Source organism: Homo sapiens, chromosome 20 (assembly GCF_000001405.40).
Source record: "Homo sapiens chromosome 20, GRCh38.p14 Primary Assembly".
In the NCBI taxonomy this organism is placed as follows: domain Eukaryota; kingdom Metazoa; phylum Chordata; class Mammalia; order Primates; family Hominidae; genus Homo; species Homo sapiens.
The window spans coordinates 17,433,933-17,447,314 of NC_000020.11; the positions used below are offsets into that span (position 1 = coordinate 17,433,933).

Genomic DNA, 13,382 nt, shown 5'->3' on the forward strand with positions numbered 1-13,382 from the left:
CTCTCCCTCTCTCTCTACCTTCTCTCTCCTACACTCTCCCTCTCTCCCTCTCCTCTCTCCCTGTCCTCTCCCTCTCTCTCTACCTTCTCTCTCTCTCCTACACTCTCCCTCTCTCCCTCTCCTCTCTCTCTGTCCTCTCCTTCTCTCTCTACCTTCTCTCTCTCTCCCACTCTCTCCTTCTCCTCTCCCTTTCTCTCTACCTGTTCTCCCTCTGCCTCTCTCTATCCCATTCTCTTTGTCTCTCTCCCTCTATCTACGCTCTCTCTCTCTCTCTCTCCCAGTCTGTCTGCCTCTCTCCCTCTCTCTCTCCTTCTCTCCCTCTCTCTCACTCGGTCTACTCTCTGTCTCCACCCCACATTCCCCTGTAGCTCCTAGAGCATCCAGGGGCAGAGGAGAGGCCTTCCCTAAAAACCCTTGGGTCACGCTGAGCCTCTGTCTTGGCTTGGTGCAGTTGCTTGCAAAATTAATACTGTATCTCATTCAATTAATGCATGCCTCATTCCTCTTGAGCTTAACAAGATTAAAAGAATGTCGGGTGCCTGGTCCCTGAATATGAATGAGAGACTTGCTCTCAGCCTGTGGCCACCCTATAATGTTAAAACAGTCAGAAGATTAATACACATCCACTCTGAGGTTCTTGCGCAGCACAGAGGGAGCCCATGAAGGTGATAAGAGCTGCAAAGAGGAAGAGGGTTCAAGGCACAGCTGGAAGTGCCATGCACCAGCCCTGGCAAAATCCAGGGCTGGCATTCGTTGGTTTGTGGGGCAGCAGAAACCTGCTTTGGCCGGGGTTGAATTTCTCACCTTCCAGTTGAGTGGGCCATTCAGTCCTGGTCATCTTGGCACTAGGCAAGTTCAAGAGCATCTGAGCAAGTGAACGCCAGCCTCTGTCTATTTCCCACCCACAGAGTGGGCGTGACTTTGCACAAGAAGAAGCTGCACTGACCAGTTTATTCTGTGGTTCATTGGTCACCTGCATTAAATAAAGTTTTTAAATAAATAAAAACATAGGTGGACCAAAAGCAAAATACAGAGTCTTAAATTTCCTATCTCCTTATAAAATGAACCATAAAATTTAACATCTGGAAAGTTCAAACCAAAGACTAGGCTTATTCTAGATAATCTTCCTCCAGGAGAAAGAATGCTAACTGATAACTGGGTGTTTGTTGTCAAAAATGGTGATTACACTTATGGGTTAATAGTAGAAGATGGATAAGCAGAGCCTGTTATTCATTCTTCTGGACCTGTTATTTGTGTTGGGGAGAAAATCAACTAAATAAGGTAATAATGCCAGATATTTATTCACCAAATATTTGTCAAGCTTAAAATAAATACCAAGCATCATGTTGATCCTCAAGGACATGGAAGTGAACAAAATAGACACATGCCCTATACTCAAAGACCATGCCATCTGGTGGTATATGAAACACGCAAATAAGTAGTTGCGATAGAAGGTTAAAGGTACACAAGAAGAGGGCTATGAGCACTGAAGAGGAAAGTGAGATCCTCGAGTCTCCTGAGGACTGAAAGTAGTAGTCCCTCAGGAAAGAAAGCAATTTCATGTCCATTTCAGCTGCCTGGCAAGGACCTGGGTGGCTTTTAATTCGATTGACGTGCTCGCCATGTTAGAGAGTGAGGCTTGTGAAATAGTGTCCTTCAGGCACAACATCCTTTGGCCACCGGGGACAAGGAAGGAGTTTTGGGGCCCAGATTTTGACTGTGCATGGCCCAACCCCTTCATTCCATAATCGCAGTGGGTGGAAAGACTCAGGTCAGCTTCACTAGCACTCTAAGCTCCATGCCACAGAATTGTGAACCCACTGACCCATCCAGATGACAAAGCCTGGAGAGAGGCATGTGACCCCGTCAGCGAAGTTTTGAGGGTAGTGATGGAGAGACAGCACACCCAACCCAATGGCGGCTACTGAGATCCCCCTGGAGAGGCCTTTGTGGATGGCCAAACGGGGACCGGAGGCCTAGGAGCACCAGCTCTGCGGGGGCAGCGCCAGCACCTTCACCCTGTGCCCCTGTGTCTTAGGATTGTGTGTCCCACACTATCCTGGACTGCAGGACTTTGCTCCTTCCCAACATTCTGTGAGAAATCACTCCCACGAGGCATCAGAGAGGAACACAAACTTTACAGCGATGCTATAGGGAAGAAAGGAGAGGCAGCCGTCAGACACAGAATTACTAATACAGTTTAGAATAGCCATCTCTGCCTTTCTGTCCTCTCCGAAGTCCCTCTCAGCTACAGTGCAAATGGGAGTTCCTCTTTCCTGACCCCACCCGCTCCTGCACTGCCCCTGCCCCTCTCTCTGTCCCCTGCCCTCTGCCCTCTGCCTGCTGGAATTTCTCCTCAAATATCAAATATTGATTGCCTCCCCCATCTATCATATGTAGTAGCTTTATTTCTCCCTTAAAACTTGGCTGCAGCCAACACCCAGTTCTCTGAGGCCAAGCTTCTACTTAGAAACGAGCTTATCAAAGCATCGCTTCAGCAAAGGTGGTCTCTCCCATCATGAATTCTAGTAAGTTTTGCTAGGGGAATAAAATTGTCTTTAAATCATTACATCAGCAAAGATGTGGGTGGGATGCAGAAAGGAGCCAGTAGGACCGTCTGTGCCTCTTTCTTGATCCCTGGACTGCACAGTGGCCCCAGAGCACCTGAGATCTCCAACCATTCCAAGTACCCAGGGCCCAAGCCCTCCTCCACCTCCTTGTCTCCTGCGAACTGGGGAACCCAAACATGGTGTCCTCTGCTCAACGTGTCCACAGGCATCCGGATGCTGGACCAGCCATTCATGACAGACATCATCGAGGCCTCCTCCATCAGTCATATGCCACAGCTGATTGACATCTACAGCGCCAGCTGGGGCCCCACAGACAACGGCAAGACAGTGGATGGGCCCCGGGAGCTCACGCTGCAGGCCATGGCCGATGGCGTGAACAAGGTAAGGGGGCCGGCCCCCTAGGCCCCGGCCACTCACAAGTTGGGACAAAGTGGGTGGAGGGGTAGATGCAACTGGGTGAACCACTGTCACCCTGTGTGTGAGTCCAGGTCCTGCAGGAATCAGACAGCACAGGGGCTTAGCCATGCAGGAGGCTGACTGCAGGGAGGCCTGTGATGGATAAGGAGAGAGGGCAGAAAAGCCTCAGACGCGATGCCTACCTGGCTCCTGCAAACGACAGTGGGAAGGAAGGGGCCGGGGGGGGGAGGGTCTCAGACAGCAGTCCCCACGCCAAAGCTGCCCATCACAGACAGAAAGGGGCCTGCACTGGCACCCCCACCACCCACTCAGTCGTTGGCTGGCAGTAGCACACAGGATTTTGGGTCTCGGCGCACACAGGGCGGTAGATCCAGGAGGCAGCAGCCAAGACTATGACCACAATGCTCGTGGGGCAGGGGGTCTGAGCATGCATTCTCACAGCTGCTCCTCTGAGATTAGCCCAGGCTTGGACAGAGCTGAGGAGAAGGAAGCTGGGCAGAGCCTCCAAAGGGATGAGATGCAGGTCAGTGCTGCATAGGGAGGGGAAGGGGGCCCCTTCTCTGAGACGCTGGGGCTGGAGCCACCCCAGAGGAGACATGACCCCAGGCTCAGGGACCAGAGGATTTCTGGGCTCCAGTCTATCAGGAAGTGACTTAGCCTCGCCTGTAAAACGGTGATAATGAGGGGTCACTATGATGTATAAATGAGATAAAGATGCAACTGCTCGGCACTGAGAAGTGCCTGCAAAGAGTCAGAATTTGTCCCAGTCTCGACTGCCGCTTAAGCAACCACCCCAAAACTTCATAGCACAGAACACAACTCCTTTACTACGCTTGGGATGCTCTGGGTCAGGAATTTGGACCGGGCACACTGGGGATGGCTCATCCGTCCTCCATGATTCCTGGGGCCTCAGCCGATAGATTCGTTACTTGAGCATCCATTACCAAACTGTTGCGTCTTCATGAGCTGTTCTGATGCATCCATCTACTTGCCACGCGTGGCACAGCTCCCACCCCTAGGCTTACGCAGTCTTCTCAGGCCTGTCCTGGCTGCCAGGCCAGCAGTTCCCCCCCACCCACACCGTGCTCCCAGAGGACTCTCTGTAATCAGCCTGGACGTGGGACTCACACCACAAGGTCACTGCCGTGTGTGGAGTGAGTTGTCTGGTGTTAAGTGAGGGAAAGGACAGTGTGTGAGATTTTGTGTGTGGCTTTTGGAACTCCATTTTGGGAATGTTTTTAAATTTGCTTCTTAGATTTTGGTAAATTTCAAATAGATGAAATGGCTATAGAAACCAGCACTATTATAAATATTTTATAAAATGCATCTGCTCCACATACACATTTAAGTTATGTACAGTCTGTTTATGGAAAATGCATAAACTCATTACTTATACATTGATAACACTAAAATAAGTGAATGTACAGAACGCTATGTTTAACGCAGGCATAAAAAAGAGAATATTGAAGAAAATAAGAGTGGGCAATTGAAGGCTGCTTTTCCATACATTTCTTGAGGTCAGAAAACATGTGTTTTCCTGCCCAGACCATCCTCAGGAACTGGCCCGGGGTTTGAGAACATAGTGGATGAGCTGTTCAGGGGGCAGGTATGGAATTAATGCAGACACGAAATGGTACGGTTGAGAGGCTGAAAGTCACATCGAAATCTATGACTACAATGGATGCCATTGGTGCCCACCAAGATCCCCTTTACCAGGCCTGGGGGCCACCCCAGCTGCTGTGAGTGTTGGCTGCTGATGGCTCACAGTGGGCCCTCTCACGAAGCATTGCCTTGACGATGGAATCTTCTCTCCCAGAAAGTTATGCCCCCCACACCCAGGGCACAGCCCACAGCCGATGACTAAGGCAGGAGCCTGTTTGCCTCCAACAGGGAGGAGTCTTCAATGCAATTTATGGTCCAGAGCCCCCTGTGGGCCAGGCCAAGGGAAAGCTTTACCCAAGACTACATAGTTTTGGAGTTCCTTCCCCTCTGTATCTTACTTCACTTCCTTGCTCGCAGGTTGCTCCTGAGAGCCCTCCCTCAATGAGTCTGGGGCAGCCGAATCTCTGCCTCAGGCTCTGCTTCTAGGGAACACCTCCCACAAACACTGCCTCAAAATTTACCCCATTAGGTTTCCCTTTTTCCTTTGGCTGCCAGGAAGCTTAGAACTAAGTGTGTGCCTATTACCATTGGTTTTTTAGACTAGGTTTTCTTCTACCTTTTTTTTTTCTTTTGAGATAGGGTCTCACTGCATCACCCAGGCTGGAGTGCAGTGGCACAATCTCAGCTCACTGCAGCCTCAACCTCCTGGGCTCAAGTGATTCTCCTGCCTCAGCCTCCAGAGTGGCTGGGACTACAGGTGCATGATACCATGCCCAGCTAACTTTTTGTAGACATGTTTCACCATGTTGCCCAGGCTAGTTTCAAACTCCGGGACTCAAGAGATCCTCCCACCTTGGCCTCCCGAGGTGGGATTACAAGCATGCACCACTGCACCCGGCCTCTTCCACCCCATTTTTCTCCATCTCTTCACCACTCACAGCCTCCAAAATCATCCCTTAGCTTCTGTCCCTGTGTCCGTGTTTGTATTCCTAGTGAGTCTAAGCCTCTGAATGCTAGGCAATGTAAAATTTGTAAAAGAATTGATGAAATGAGCTCAGTCTGATTAGATTATATTTAGCCATGAGAAATCTAACTTTGGATCCTTACTAAATTGTTGCTTGCTTACACACATTCCTAGTCTTACCAGACTAAAGCATCTCACTGGACAAAAATTGGCAAGTTCACATGTAACTTCCTCAGAGTCTCAGCCCTAAACAATAGTAAACAATATTTCAAACCAAGTGGAACCCTTCAGCGCAGTGGGTGGCCAACTTTGGTACACAGGCTGGATCTAACCCCCAGACTTGCTTTGCAAAGACAGTTTCCTTGGGACACAGCCAGGCCCTTCCAGGTCTTTGTGACATTCTGGGCACCTCCAACCACAGCTGTCACGGGTCCCAGGGGAAGGAAGCACATAGGGCACCAAATGAAGGGGCTCATCTCTCAGAATCAGGCTTTTCTGGATGCTGGTCAACGTCTCTGTCTTCACTAGAGAGCCGACACTGCACAGCAGCAGGTCCGTCCTGTTGCAGGGATATTTCAGCAGGTGGAGAGCTCTTGACAGTGGAGAGACCTGAGTTTTAACCTCAGTCCTGCCCCCCATTGGCTGGGGAACTTCAGACTAGTCGATGTCTCCATTCCTCACTTTTTGCAAAATGGTCTGAGTCAGTGCTTCTCAAAGTGTGGCCACAGCCCACCTGGGAGAGTGAAAAATGCAAAACCTCAGCGCCTCCTCCCCTCCCACAGATGCCGCATTTTAACAAGATCCCATTAAAGTTTGCAAGGTGTTGCTCTACGTGATCTTGAGGATCCAAATCATCTAACCCTGAGATCCTAAGACCCTAACATATGGTTTCTTAAAACCTACAATGAATAGAAAAGGGCAGCAGGGGTGACACATTTCCAGAAAGGAACAGCCCTGTATTTCCTCATCAGACAATGGGTTGGACGGGTGGGCTGTGTGATGACTGAGCCACACGCCATTTGTCTCTGTGTTGAAGAAACAGAGGCCTAGGTAGCCCAAATAAATTGGTTTCTCGTAAGAATGCACCAGGAGGGCCTTGGCATAGTGGCTCACGCCTGTAATCCCAACACTTTGGGGGGCTAAGGCGGGTGGATCACCTGAGGTCAGGAGTTCAAGACCAGCCTGATCAAAATGGTGAAACCCCGTCTCTACTAAAGATACAAAAAATTAGCCAGGTGTGGTGGTGGGCACCTGTAATCTCAGTTACTCAAGAGGCTGAGGCAGGAGAATCACTTGAACCCGGGAGGCAGACGTTGCAGTGAGCTGAGTTCATGCCATTGCACTCCAGTCTGGGCATCAGGAGTGAAACTCTATCTCAAAAAAAAAAAAAAAAATGCACCAAGAGGGATCAGGGCAATGAGATAGATTCAGGCAAGACCTCATAGTGCCTGGGACCAGACAGACATCCTGATCCAAGGTGGCTGCAGGATGCCAGCCCCAAGAATGTGTGGAAAGCCACAGGAGGGCTCTGCGGTCACGGGGCTAGGCCACACTCACCCTGTTTGCTTCTCCCCGGTTTCGTGGCTCCGGCTCTCCAACTCACCCTTCCCCTTCCTTGAGGCTTATGCTTAGAGGTGTTTCCACTTGGACACCACCCCATTGGCACCCTTGCTTGTTACAATCTGTCAGCCTCTGCTCCAGCTGCCACCTGCCCTTGATGCTTTCAGGGAAATTTTGGCTCAAAATTAGGGGAAACACCCCAAGATGAGCCTCCAAAACCAAGAAGTGTGGTTCTGTTGGGAAGGTTTGGAACTTGCAGGGTCAGAGGCCAGTCAGATGGTTTCTAATAAAACCCCTTTCTTTCTCCTCTGAGGACATCAAAGGGTAGTTGTCTATATTCACAGTCTTCTTAGGCATCTGATGGAGTAATTTTTTCTGAGCTGTTGAATTCTTTCAAAGGTCTGAACAGAAATATAAGACTGTATGCCCCTGTATTAATCTGTTTTCATGCTGTTGGTAAAGACATACCTAAGGCTGGGCAATTTACAAAAGAAAGAGGTTTATTGGACTTACAGTTCCACATAGCTGGGGAGACCTCACAATCATGGTGGAAGGTGAAAGGCATGTCTTACCTGGTGGCAGACAAGAGAAGAGAGCTTCTGTAGGGAAACTCCCCTTTTTAAAACCATGAGATCTCATGAGATCTCATAAGACTTATTCACTATCAAGAGAACAGCATGGGGAAGACTCGCCCCCATGATTCAGTTACCTCCCACTGGGTCCTTCCCACAACATGTGGAAATTCAAGATGAGATTTGGGTGGGGGCACAGCCAAACGGCATCAGCACCTCTTCTGTTGTGGGTTCAATTGTGTCCCCAAATATTCATATGTTGGGGTCCTAATCCCCAATACCTCATAATGTGACCTTATTTGGAAATAGGGTCATTGCAGATATAATTAATTAAGATGATGTCATATTGGAGTAGGATGGGCCCCTAATCCAATATGATTGGTGTCCTTATTTAAAAGACAAAAAAAAAAAAAAAGAACAGGAACATCTGGGCACAGATAGGCATACAGGGAGAACAGCATGTGAAGATGAAGGCAGAGGGGCTGGGGATGCATCTACAAGCCCAGGAGAGCCAGAGATGGCCAACAGCCCACCGGGAGCTGGGAAAGGAATGGGATAGATTCCTTCTCCAGAACTTCTAGGAATGGAATTGAATCTATTATGTCTCCAGAACTTCTAGAGATGGATTCTATTCCTAGAAGTTCTGGAGACGGAAGTGTCAGCAGGGTTGGCTGACACTTCCGTCTCCAGGATTTCTAGGCAAGAAATTTCTGTTGTTTAAGCCACTCAGTTTGTGGTCCTTTGGTTGTTACTTTGGTCCTTTGGTTGTGGTCCTTCTGTAGCAGCCCTGGCAAACTAATGCACCTTCCAGTCTTAGAATGGATCATCAAAAAGGAGGTTTGGCAGTGCGGGAATGACCTGCTCACTGTTCAAGGTCACCTTGATGTCACCTGGCCCTCTGCTTTACAGCCAAGATGGTCAATAGTTGATCCAATTACGACTTTTTTCTTCTAGTTCAGGACCTTGAGAAGTCTCCCTCCCTCCCTTCTCTGATGTAGCTTCCTCGAAGGAATGAGCGTGTGAAAATGCTCACGATGCAGTCCTAGGAGAGAAACATGTTTCCAAGTTAGGGAGAGTGCTGTGCTGAAATGCTCCCAATAACGTCACACTGGGAGCTTGAAATTCAACATGGAAATTGACGAACACTAAAAATAAAGCCCTTTTACGCCCCCTTCAGGGAGCTGGTTGTTAAACATTGAATAGCACACCTCTCGTTAGAGGACTCTTCTGACTTCCCTTAAATTATAGCACTTACATACCTATGTGTTCTCCCTGCAAGTAACAGCCACCCTTGCCTTCATGAGTCTGGAAGTTCCCTTTGCGAAGTGGAAAAGCTGGAGGAAAAACACCTGAAACCCCAAGGTTTTGTTTCCCCAAAATGACAAGTTTCCCAACCAGAGTCCTAAGTTACCCCAAGACTGTGGAGGACAACTTTTCTAAGTCAAGGAAAGATCTCACACTTTAAGGAATTCACCACTTTTACATTAAATACAAGGATCCCAAAAACACAATTATGAGATGGGAAACAGAGTCCTCGAAGTGAACATCATGGTGACAGCAGCTAAATGTCCATTGCTACACTGTTCAGGAAATAGTGAAGACGCTTTATTACAAGGTTATGCCAGTCTGCTGTTGAAATTCAACCCATCTGAAACAGCAACAGGAGCCTGACATTTGAGTGACACAATGCGGTTTACAGAGAATGTCTGCCAACAGGATCGGGTGGCAGGAAAGTGACGTCCCTACCCTGTTTCAATGCCTGGTCTCCTTAAGAAGCATTTAGGATGAAATTTTTGATGCACAGACAGCCTGTTTCCTTATTGCATTATTCATTGTGTGACTGGAGAGAAATTGTTACACATCCAAGCCCCAGACCAGGTGACAGCAGGTGCCCAGGGGAACAGTTGGCAGATTCCCCCTTTCCTCAGCAGACATGGATTTTCACTGAGAGGCACTTTTTTTGACACCTGAGGCCAAAAGAGAGTCGGGAAGGTAGGAGATGTGTGCCCTCTGTCCAGACTGACAGTGCAGATGGTGGCAGCGCTCCACATCCCTGGGTGCCCCTGTCATTTTCCACGGACTTCTGCACTTCTCCACTGCCTCTCGAAGCAGGATATTTCTCTCTCCTCCATCTGTAGCCTCCCTGGCTGCAGGTGAAAAGGCCCTTTCAAGTGTGATTGTCCTGCAAAGCATGCCGAGCCCGCTGAAGCTTAAGAGAAAAATTGTTATGACTGATCTTCAGATGACAGCAAGTACATCTTTTAGAAAGTGGAGTGAGTATGATGAAAAATACATTATTTCACATTTGACTTTTCCCCAAGAAATGGGAATAAATTTCCCCAAGCAATGGGAATAAATTTCCCCAAGCAGTGGGAATAAATCTTTCCTTGTTTCAAGGTGACATTTTTTGGACAACATTGTAGCATTTTGGAAGTGAGGGTTCATTGTGCATTAGCGAAGGTTTTCTCCTAGTGACTTCCACTGCCTGGTCTACTCTAAGGAAAAATCCACTTCTGAAAGGCAATCTTCACACAAACAAAGGAGTCAGAGAATTACCTGTTACACAAGGCACTTCTTACGTTTGTCTTTCAATTTTATCATCCTGTACATATGTTTTGTTTGACCAACATGGTAATGATTAAAAGGAAGAGAACAAAGAGGAGATGGATAAGAGACTTTTATCGGGGCATGCACTGTTTGCCATAGATCCCACCATTCCCAGTTGTCTGATGGCTGCTTCACACAAACATCACCTACCTGACTCCTTAGGGATTTGAAGTTTGCACCTCCTACATTTGCTTAGTAAATACTTGAGAGAAGCAGTGAGGAGTGGGCAAGAAGGAAATCCTTTTTTTCTTTTGCTTAGTAGTCTATGTGTTGGGTTTACAGTTACAGCATTTTTCACGTTGTATATGGGAAGAGGGTGACAGTCAGAGGCCCCTGAATTACCAGAGGGTTCAATAATTGACTTCTGTCTTAGTTTTAGATCTCCTAGAAGCAGATCCTGAGGCAAGATTTGGGATCAAGTAGTTTATTGGGAAGGTGAAGAGAATACCAGTGATGAATGGGAGGTGTGGCAGGAAAGAGACAGGGCCAGTTAAGGGTATGTTATCCTGCCAGTCATCGCTGTCAGCAACTGGAGCTTAATGCCACTGGGAAACTTCAGAAAACCACACCAAAACTTGAGAACACACCCCAAAGGTATCCCACCCTGTGGGAAAGGAGCTGGAATAAAACCCATTGATGAGGTTTGTTCCCAAAACCTTGTAAATGCCCCAGTGCTTTCAGCCTGAGGACAGATGCACAGAGCAGCCTTTCAGCCTCTTGGGAGGAAGCCCTTAGACAAAAAGATGCATATGCTGACATTTGGAAACTCCCAGGCACAGGGAATTCTAAAGCCCAAGGGATATGGGCTCACACACAACTCCCAAAGTGCAGCTTAAGCAAAACCTAACCTGAGACTTCGAGTCATCACTCTCTGGATAAATAAAGCACTGGCAAGGTGATGTGTTTACTGTTCAGGAAAAGGATGTAGCCCTTGCAAAGAGGGAGCTACAAAAACCAGCCATTATGGGACACAGCATCTTATTTTGCTCTGACAACCAGAAGGGGAATTCGGGTGACGCTAGAAGGTCTTGAAAGTGACAACTGATTCATGAACGTCTTTCCACAACTTGAGGAAATGCAGCCACCCAGGGCAACCCTGGCACACCTTTTGCTGGCTCTGATGACTACATCCCAACTTCTTCTTAATCACTCTTCAGAGTTGCTGCTGGAGGGAATATTTTAGGAATATTTAAAGACAAGGCTACAAAAATTCTCTAAGGTACAGATGAGACAGCGCATTGATTGTTTACTCCCTAAGGGGCTGCAAAGGGCAAAGCACAGAACTCAGGTCTTCTTCCAGCTGGAATGTATGGACAGGGACCACTTACAAGAAAACCACCATCCAGGAAAGCAGGGGACAGAGAGCTGCCTGGGGAGACAGTGATTAATCAGGCATGGGCGAGGGGAGGCCACAGTGCCTCCTGCTGAAATTTAATCAGAGCCACGGGTCGTACACCATGGCGGCGAGTGCCAGGGCCTCTGGCAGACGATGAATGCCTCCTGCCAAGGAGCTCTCACGAATACTCTGTGAGCCCAGATTTATGCTCTGCAGCCAGATGAAGGTCGCAACTGAGCAGAACTGCTGCAGCGTGGAATCTGCAGTTCAGCCTTGGAAACAGCTGGTGCCGTTACCGTCCTTCCTTTCATTTCTGGGATAAAGAGAACTAAGAGAAAAGTCTGGTGGGTTTCGGGTGATCCTTGTGACCAGCCGTCTCATTTTGCCAGGGACTTTCCTGTTTTTAGCATTGAAAAGTCCTACATCTCAGGAAACCCCTCAATCCTGGGCAAACCAAGACAGTTGGTCACCCACCCTTTGGCGCTATTAGTAGCGTTGGCCCACCTGGGCCCAGTGAGAAATTCACCCGAGGTTAGAAGTTGACATGAATGTAAACTCAGCAGCACCTCTGACATCAGAAAGATTCATCACTACAATGGCTGGATCCTTTGAGCAGTGAGACAGAATAACACAGGATTCTGACCTCCAAGGTGGTTACACGAAAACCAGACAATAACTAAAGACAACCACAGGCGCCATCAAACACTGAATCGAGGTGAGGATTTAAATCAGAGGCCAGGGCAACTGCATCATCCTTAGCTTGGCTTTTCCAGAGAACCTGATACCCTACTCCCGCTGAACTACCACAGAACCCACAGGGACTCTGCAGAGTCTGGAACTGACCAGTGAAAGTTCCAAACTACAAAGGATACCATCTATCATCACTCCCACTCACAACTCATTGATTAAAATGGCTTATAAGACCTCACCCAACCACAAAGAGGCCTGGTCATGGGCTCAGACCGTGGACAGTTTGCAATATTTAGCAAGCAGCAGCAATGACTACCACAATGTGTACCGAAACAGTTAGGTAGCTCAAGAGGTAACCAGTTGACCTAGTGAGGACAAATGTGCAAATGTCGAAGATGTTTGTGAATAGTTTGAATAAAATTTGCCAAAGATGTTCATGAATAATTTGAATAAAATTTTTCATGAACTACGAGTGCAGAAAGGCAATATTCATAAATCAATACATTGTTTCATGTGCAATTTAAAATGTGTTTATTTTAAAATTCATATTTTAATAACAGATTAAAGTAATATAATGGAAAAGTGTCTGCAAGTCTAAATCCAACACATCAAAGAAAAAGGAAAAACTGAGTAAATATATATGCACATAGATAATGAAAATCTAGCTCAGTTTCTTAATACAGGAAGAGCTCTTACAAACCAATAAAAGGAATACCATGAGGTCAGGCGAGGTGGCTCACACCTGTAATCCCAGCATTTTGGGAGGCTGTTGTGGGCAGATCCCTTGAGGTCAGGAGTTTGGGACCAGCCTGGCCAACATGGTGAAACTCCGTCATCTCTACTAAAAAAAATAAATAAAGAAAAATAAAAATTGGCTGGGCACAGTGCTATGTGCCTGTAATCCCAGCTACTTGGGAGGCTGAGGCAGGAGAATATCTTGAAGCTGGGAGGCAAAGACTGCAATAAGTCGAGATCACACCATTGCACTCCAGCCTGGGTGACAGAGCTATACTCTGTCTCAAAAAAAAAAAAAAATCTATGAAAGAAAAAAACATAGGCAAAGC

At 47.6% G+C, this 13,382-nt stretch overlaps 1 protein-coding gene across 3 annotated transcripts in view; it reads left to right on the top strand.

Moving 5' to 3' along the window:
- Nucleotides 1-13,382, top strand: part of PCSK2 (proprotein convertase subtilisin/kexin type 2) — a 258,472-nt gene that overhangs the window by 207,826 nt on the left and 37,264 nt on the right. For all 3 annotated transcript variants that reach the window (NM_001201528.2, NM_002594.5, NM_001201529.3), the window contains one exon: nucleotides 2,776-2,951. In NM_001201528.2, coding sequence (NP_001188457.1) covers nucleotides 2,776-2,951 — 176 coding nt within the window. The remainder of the gene's footprint in view (nucleotides 1-2,775; nucleotides 2,952-13,382) is intronic.